Below are 8,476 nucleotides of genomic sequence, written 5' to 3'. Positions count from 1 at the left end.
GATAATTAATCAGATTTTTAAAATACTGAATAATAGAATGTGGGTTACACACATTCATTAATTTCAAGAATAAGAGGACTAACATAACTATGCAATAAAATCAGTCAAAGTTTTTGTTTTGTTTTGCAAAAATAATATTTGCTGCTTGATGAGGAAATATGAATTCCAGAAGAAAACAAATGAATAGCCCTTTTGGCACAAGTATAAAGACTATCAGAGTAAAAAGTCGTGCTCTGGTTATGATGACAGAATGCTGTACTGAATGTTCTGGTAGCTGCTGGGGACAAATAGAAACATTTCTGGCTTCAGAGTATAGCTAATGACTTTTTTTTTTTTTTTTCTTTTTTTTTTTTTTGAGACAGAGTCTCGCTCTGTTGCCCAGGCTGGGCTCACTGCAACCTCCACCTCCAGGGTTCAAGCGATTTTCATGCCTCAGCCTCCTAAGTAGCTGGGATTACAGGTGTCAGATACTGCACCTGGCCATGGCTAAAGATATTTTTATGTTTTTGAGAATTTCAGAGTTCCACAAGATATTTTGGGAGAATCTTGAAGATGTCAACTATATGTAGAATCATATGATTTCCTAACACCATTATTTCCTGCTTGAATAATATATTGAGGCACAAAATACTAATTGTGGCTAGGAGATGGTCAGAAAGATTTGTTTGTTTTTTCAGATTATTTTACTTTTGTTTTAATGTGGGTTGCTTTTTTGCTAGAGAGGCAGTACATACTCAGGAAAGAGAGAAGTAGAAAATACTTTAAAGGAAAAAAAATGACCCAATTACCAAAACGCAAGTTTAAACATCTTGGTATATTTCTCATTAGTCTTTGCCTTGACTTAGATCTATTTTTCCCCATCTTGTTGGTTTTGTACTGCTTGTATATCATTGCATCTTATTTTTTAAAAAATTAAACATTATAAGCACTGCTCTGTGTCGTTACATACACTTAAAACGTCTCATTGTTAAAGGGTATAATAGTCTCTGGAGAAGTCCTTTAAAATTACACATCTAGAGGAATTTTGTCTTCTGCTAACATGCAAATAAGGCTGCTATTAACAACCAGAAGCCTATTACTTTTTTTGATGTTATTTGTAATTATTTCTTGATAGATTCCCAGAAGTCATACAACTGGGTCAAAGGTTATGAACATGTAAGGATGATGACATTTTGTCAAATTGCTTTCCTAAAGTGTGTCCACCGACATTATCTTACCCTTTCTGGTATTTATATTATTTTCCTTATTTCCTCCATTCCTTCTGTAATACTTATTAGGGAGCTGTTTTAGCCATCATAGAAAAAGATCATTGTTAATTGGACACGAGCCGGTGTTATCTTGTTTTAAATTGCAGCTATTGGATTATCGCTGAGATGTAACATTTTTTCCCACGTTGGCTAACAAATTGTAGTTTTTCTTTCATCATTTAGTTTTTTCAATCAACTTGTAAGAGGGCTTCTATAATGACGAATTTACTCCAAGTTTACTGAATGTGCTGTAAATGTGTTCCCAGAGTTGATTAACAAAATCTTTGGTTTTCCCCAGGCACAGTGGAATCATGGATCCTCTGATGATGATCCCTGGGCTGACTCATTTGCCTTTGGGTTTGCAAAACTTCTCATTCCAGCTCCATCAAGACTGAAGCTCCTGAATGCTAAGTAGCACCCTAGTGCTTCCCTGAGGTCACCATTTTTCAGCCAGACCCAGAGACAGGAAAAATATCCACAGTTGCTTTCTGGTAACCAGGCGCTGCCGCTATCTGCCGGGCACTATCTTTAAAAAATGGGAGTTGCCACTTTAAACCCCCAGTGTCTTCTGAAATGGTTTTATGTATAAGATTAGAGCCATTTAAGCTATCTTTTTCCCTAGAAAAGAACCAAAGAAGGGAGAAAGAGGAGAGGAAGCATACAGCAAGATAGATATCACCTACAACAAATTTTGATTAAGAACATATGCTGCCACTACATTAAAAATTGCCCCAATTTTCTCAGAATAAAAAAAAATTGTCTCAGAAAATGATTTTAAGAATATGAGAATTGATTTTCTGGATCCCTGGACCTGCAACCTAGCCAAATTCTGCCTCGGGGCTATCTCTGAGAGCACTGCTATTCAAAGCATAGTCCAAAAGGAGCAACTTTAACTTTACCTGGGAAGTTGTTACACAGGCAGACCCAGCCTCGGACCAGTTGCAGCAGACTCTGGTAATTTGTATGCAGGTTAAAGTTTGAGAAGCAGACAGATCACAGCTCACTGTAACTTTGAACTCCTAGGCTCAAAGGATCCTCCTGTCTCAGCCTCCTGAGTAGCTGGGACTACAGGCGTGTGCCACCACACCCAGCTAATTCTTACATTTGTTTTAGCAGGGTCTTGCTATGTTGCTCAGGCTGGTCTCAAACTCTCAAACTCCTGGCATCAAGCAATCCTCCTGTCTTCACCTCCCAAAGTGCTGGGATTACAGATGTGAGCCACTGCACCTGGCCAAGAAACACTATTTTCTTTTCTTTTTTAAAAAACTTTTACTTTAGGTTCAGGGGTACATGTGCAGGTTTGTTATATAAGTAAATTGTGTGTCTTGGGGGTTTGGTGTACAGATTATTTCATCACCCTGGTAGTAAGCATAGTACTCGATAGGTGGTTTTTCAGTCCTCTCCCTCTCATCCTCCACCCTCAAGTAGGCCCTGGTATCTGTTGTTCTCCTCTTTGTGTCCATGTGTACTCAATGTTTAGTTTCACTTATAAGTGAGAACATGTGGTATTTGGTTTTCTGTTTCTGCATTAGTTGGCTTAGGATAATGGCCTCCAGCTCTATCCATGTTGCTGCAAAGAACGTGATCTTGTTCTTTTTTACGGCTGCATCGTATTCCATGGGGTATATGTACCACATTTTCTTTATCCAGTCTATCATTGGTGGGCATTTAGGTTGATTCCATAGCTTTGCTATTGTGAATAGTGCTGCAGTGAACACCTGTGCGCAGATGTCTTTATGGTAGAATGATTTCTATTCCTTTGGGTATATACCCAATAATGGGACTGCTGGGTTGAATGATAATTCTGTTTTAAATTATTTGAGAAATCACCACACTGCTTTCCACAATGGCTGAACTAATACTTTACATTCCCACCAGCAGTATATAAGCTAAGAAGCACTTTTCAAAAACAGTGGTATTGTTGATCTAAAAGGAAGAAGCTGAGTCAAAATTAATATAAGTAGAGAGTTTATTTGGGCCAAGCTTGAGGACTGCAACCCAGTGTATATTGAAGTGTATATTCAAGTTGTCCTGAATATACAATCTGATTAGCAGCAGTTGCATGTGAATGTTTATAAAGGAAAAGAGGCAGTTCCTAAGTTGTTTATCAAAATTTACATTAAAATAACATAAGCTGTTGATTGGATACACATTGTTCTTTGTATCACAGATTCCAGGAACATGAAGATAACAGGGAATGTAGCTAGTCAGGAACAAAATGCCTTTTTTTTTTTTGAGATGGAGTCTCTCTCCGTTGCCCAGGCTGGAGTGGCGCCATCTTGACTCACTGCAACCTCTACCTTCTGGCCTCCTGGGTTCAAACAATTCTCCTGCCTCAGCCCCCCGAGTAGCTGGGATTTCATGAGCATGCTGCCATGCCTGGCTAATTTTTGTATTTTTAGGAGTGTAGGGGTTCCACCATGTTGACCAGTCTGGTCTCAAACTCCTGACCTCAAGGGATCCTCTCGCCTCGGCCTCCCAAAGTGTTGGGATGACAGGCATGAGCTACCACACCACCAGGAACAAAATGACTTTAAATAATTGCCCACAGGCATGGGGGGTGGTGGGTAGGGGGAGGGTATGTGCCGGGGGTGTGACTGAAGTCCTCTACTCCCGTCTCTCTGGGCCTAATAAATTTTGCACACCTCACATAGCTCAGACTGCTGAGGGATTTTTCTTTTCTTAGTATCAACCCTGGTTTACACATCAGAATCTTCTGAGGAGCTTGAAAACAATATCAATGTCCAGGCCTCGCCCCCAGAGATTGGCACTGGAATTGTTTAGAAGCTCTCCAGTGATTCTATGCGCAACCAGAGTTGAGAACTGATTTAGTTTCTTTTCTTTTCTTTCTTTCTTTTCTTTTTTTTTTTTTTTTGAGACAGAGTCTCGTTCTGTTGCCCAGGCTGGAGTGCAGTGGTGCCATCTCGGCTCAGTGCAGCGTCTGCCTCCCGGGTTCCAGCAATTCTCCTGCCTCAGCCACCCGGGTAGCTGGATTACAGGCACGTGCCACCATGTCTGACTAATTTTTGTATTTTTAGTAGAGACAGGGTTTCACCATGTTGGCCAGCCTGGTCTCGAACTGCTGACCTCAGGTGATCCGCCCGCCTTGGCTTCCCAAAAAGCTAGGATTACAGGCATGAGCCACCAGGCCTGGCCAACTGATTTAGTTTCTAAAACTTGTTACAAGGCAGAGCTGATAAAATTCTAAATCTGAGGTCTTCAAATTTTGTGCTTCCTAACTAAACATTAAGTATTAGGATTAAATCCCAAAGCCAGTTAGCTTCTGGAGGATGGGAATATATTATTTGTCTTGTTTTTTTTAAAATATGTGTCAGCTAGTTTCAAGAGCAACTAGATATCCCAGGATAGGAAACAAAACAACAAAAATAGATATCAAATGATTATGGTTTTGCTCACGAATGCATCTCAGTATTGGACAGCCCACCCTTCGTGGTGTTTTCACTTCCTTGGATGGGTCGCATAGCAGCACACCAAAATGACCTGCAGATGTAGTCATTAAGATAGGCAAAACAGCCAGACTGGCCCTGCCACCATGCAGGCTACTATAGATGCAGCTTTCTTTTCTTTTTTTTTTTTTTGAGATGGAGTTTCGCTCTTGTCATCCAGGCTGGATGGCACAATCTCGGCTCACTGCAACCTCTGCCTCCTGGGTTCAAGCAATTCTCCTGCCTCAGCCTCCTGAGTAGCTGGGATTACAGGTGTGTGCCACCACATCTGGCTAATTTTTGTATTTTTAGTAGAGACAGGGTTTCACATGTTGGCCAGGCTGGTCTCAAACTCCCGACCTCAGGTGATCCACCCGCCTCGGCCTCACTAAAGTGCTGGGATTACAGCGGTGAGCCACCGTGCCCTGGCCAGATGCAGCTTTCAAAGCTCATCTCCTTACTGCTTATGAGTCATTTCCTGAAGTGATAAACACACAGCCTGCTGGGTTGAAACTGTACATGCTGTGTTATCTGAATTCTGAGATGCTACTGAATTTGACCTCTGGTTTTCCGTGTGTTTCCATAAGACTAGCATGCAATCAACAGTCCCCATGACAACAAACTTGGCGCTTGAGTTTCACTTTACAGGAATGCCACCATGGGTAGAATCTGCTGCTGTTCTGAATTGTCTCTTGGTCTTCTGGTCTGAAACTTTGCTCAGCAAGCACCTCTCTCTTTCCTTTACACAGCAGGTGGCTGAAAATCAGACCTCACACAGAGCTTCCTGTTCTGTGGACCACACCATACCTGATGACGTGAATCAGTATCTTTTCTTTTCTTTTTGTGACAGGGTCTCACTCTGTCACCCAGGCTGAAGTGTAGTGGCACCATCTTGGCTCATTGCAACCTCCGCCTCCCAGGCTCAAGCCATCCTCCCACCTTAGCCTCCCAAGTAGCTGGAACTACAGGCATGAGCCATCACGCTCGGCTAATTTTTGTATTTTTCGTAGAGACGGGGTTTTGCCATTTTGCCTAGGCTGGTCTCGAACTCCTGGGCTCAAACCATTCATCCGCCTTAGCCTTCCAAAGTGCTGGGATAATAGGCGTGAGCCACTGAGCCTGGATGTTGAATCAGTTTCTTGCTCCAAGACTTGGAACCCCTCAGCTCTGAAACAGCCAGAAACCCAGAGTGGTGCCTGCAGCTCTAAGCCAACTCTTTACCCCTGTTTGCTTTTATGCTTTTATAATAATTACCAGTTTATCTGTTTTCTTCAAGTCAATAAAGTTGGGACATCTTGGATAAGGGCAGTGGTTTTCAAACTTCTTTTGCTCAGAACACCTTAATACACTTAAAATTATTGAGGACCAGCAAAGAGCCTTTGTTTATGTGGGTTGCATCCATTGGTGTGCTGGAGTCAACTTGTACCTGCTCACAAGAATTCAATATTCAGGAAATTTGTCAAGCCAACTGTTAAACAGTTGGGAGCTTGAAACTGGAAAAGAAGGGAGTATTCACACCATCAAAATTGGCAAATGCTAGTTTGCCAGATCAGGCTTTTTTTCTTTTTGTGGAGATCCTGCTTAGCAGCACATCACTGACTTTTTTTCTTTTTCATTTTTTGAGACAGCCTTGCTCTGCTCTGTCGTCCAGGCTGGAGTGCAGTGATGCCATCTTGACTCACTGTAACCCTCGCCTCCCAGGCTCAAGTGATTCTCGTGCCTCAGCCTCCCAAGTAGCTGGGATTACAGATGTGCACCACCACACCCAGCTAAGTTTTTTATTTTTAGTAGAGATGGGGTTTACCTATGTTGCCCAGGCTGGTCTCGAACTCCTGGCCTCGTGATCCGCCTGGCTTGGCCTCCCAAAGTGTTGGTATTACAGGTGTGAGCTACTGCACCCTGCTGCCAATGATTTTATCTACTGATATTTTCCATATTAGACATTAAAATGGAGAACTTTTGAAAATATCTATTTCAGCTAAAAATGACAATAAGCCCATTACATGTTAAAATAAATACTATATTTTTCAAAATTTTTTCCCAAAACAATAATTTAAGGAGGAGAGTTGCATTGTTTTACATTTTTGCAATCTCTTTAATGACTGGTGTAATAGGAGACAGTCAGATTTTCGTCTCTGCTTCTGCATTCAATCTGTTGCACTTTCACATGTTGTGTAGCTTCTGGAAAACTCATCTGTCCACTTATGAGAGAAACAGACCAAAAAAGGCAAATAATATCTTGGTATTTGAAGAGAGTTTGACCTTGCAGATCTCCTGAGAGTCTCAGGAACTCTGAGAATAATTGCATTAGAGAATTTCTCCTCTCTTCTCACATTGCAGCTCACTTAACCACACCTCCTTCACAAAACACAATTAGGTTTATCCTGTGGTCAATTACTCTTCACACACATTTGGTCTAGTAGTTTCAAAAGGCATAGCCACATAACAGGCTAATTATGCCAGGAAATTACCATTGGTGAACTGTTTTTCCCCTTAATTTTCACGACAGCACCTGGCTGAAGATAAGCTGCTAATGGATGGTCCAGGCCCCAGAAACTTAAATAGCTTGGTCATCAATGCTGCTTAACCTTTTCCACTTGCTTCTGTAGCTCAACTTCCTCAAAGACATGCCAACGGCAAACAGTTTTTAAAATTTCTTAAATTCAGAAGTATAACCTAAAATTTTCCAAGTGTATATTCAATAGCCAAGCATTCCATTTCCTTAAAAATGCTATTTTTAGCTTGGTGGAAAAAACATTTTTTTTTTTTGGATACATGGTCTCACTCTGTTGCCCAGGCTGGACTGCAGTGGTGCAATCATGGCTCGCTGCAGCCTCAACCTCTTGGGCTCAGACGATCCTCCCACCTCAGCCTCCTGAGTAGCTGGGACCACAGGCATGCCATCGTGCCAGGTTAATTATTTATTTATTTTTTAATTGAGATGGCGTCTCACTATGTTGCTCAGGCTGGTCTCAACCTCCTGGTCTGAAATGATCCTCTGGCCTCAGTCTCCCAAAGTGTTGGCATTATAGGCGTGAGCCACCATGCCTGGACAAAAAAAATTTTTGTGTTAGCAAAATTTAAGGTTTTTTGAACTCAATCTATTCCTTGAAACACACGTGAAAAGTCCAGGCCTTAGAAACTTAAAAAGCTTGTGTGTTAACTTATAAAAATTCTGTATGTTAACAAAATCCTTGTTTAGTTGAAATAATTTTTTCATTGACTATGACTCTAGAAATAATTTATCAAAAATTTTTTTATTTTCAACCTTGAGAAGTACTAGTCATTTTGCTTTAAATTTCCCCTCCTCCCTTCTGCCTGAGGGAGTGCTAGACAGCAAAGGACTGTCATTCAGCCAGAGAAGACAGCACAGCCATTTTACGGATTTCCTTTCTGCTCTGACATTTAATTTCTCTCTCACTAGGGAAGAACTGCAGACACTACCCATGATGTCTATAACTCAGAAATTTGAATATATTCTCAATAAGCTTAAATTTTCTTAAGAAGGGATTGAGAGAGAGAGAGAGAGCTAATCACTCAATGTCTTTGGCAGAAATGGTGCTGTTTGTTTTATTTTTTCCTTGCATTTGTTCTTCCAGATCCCTTCTCCACGGCAAAGGAAGCTGATCTTTATGGACTACTTCACTCTGGGTATTGGGTTAAGATTAGGATCAAGGGGAGGCCTCCCAAGAGATCAGAGGGTGAGGGAGAGGCGTCAGTGTGTTCCCTCCTGTACCTGGGCCTTGGCAGTAATGGCTTCCCCTGATTGCTAGTCTCTGGGGG

At 41.4% G+C, this 8,476-nt stretch overlaps 3 annotated features.

Annotated features, from left to right (window-relative positions):
- Nucleotides 2,752-2,831: an enhancer, noted in NCBI's record as "active region_22697". NCBI's record gives its function as "activates an Ori minimal core promoter by ATAC-STARR-seq in GM12878 lymphoblastoid cells {active_cell/tissue: GM12878}" and the evidence as "EXISTENCE:reporter gene assay evidence [ECO:0000049][PMID:35858748]".
- Nucleotides 4,965-5,034: an enhancer, noted in NCBI's record as "active region_22696". NCBI's record gives its function as "activates an Ori minimal core promoter by ATAC-STARR-seq in GM12878 lymphoblastoid cells {active_cell/tissue: GM12878}" and the evidence as "EXISTENCE:reporter gene assay evidence [ECO:0000049][PMID:35858748]".
- Nucleotides 5,135-5,464: an enhancer, noted in NCBI's record as "active region_22695". NCBI's record gives its function as "activates an Ori minimal core promoter by ATAC-STARR-seq in GM12878 lymphoblastoid cells {active_cell/tissue: GM12878}" and the evidence as "EXISTENCE:reporter gene assay evidence [ECO:0000049][PMID:35858748]".

The sequence above is a fragment of the Homo sapiens genome, chromosome 5 (genome assembly GCF_000001405.40).
Source record: "Homo sapiens chromosome 5, GRCh38.p14 Primary Assembly".
In the NCBI taxonomy this organism is placed as follows: Eukaryota; Metazoa; Chordata; class Mammalia; order Primates; family Hominidae; genus Homo; species Homo sapiens.
Note: the sequence above shows the minus strand (reverse complement) of the source record. Positions and strands in the feature narration are given on the sequence as shown.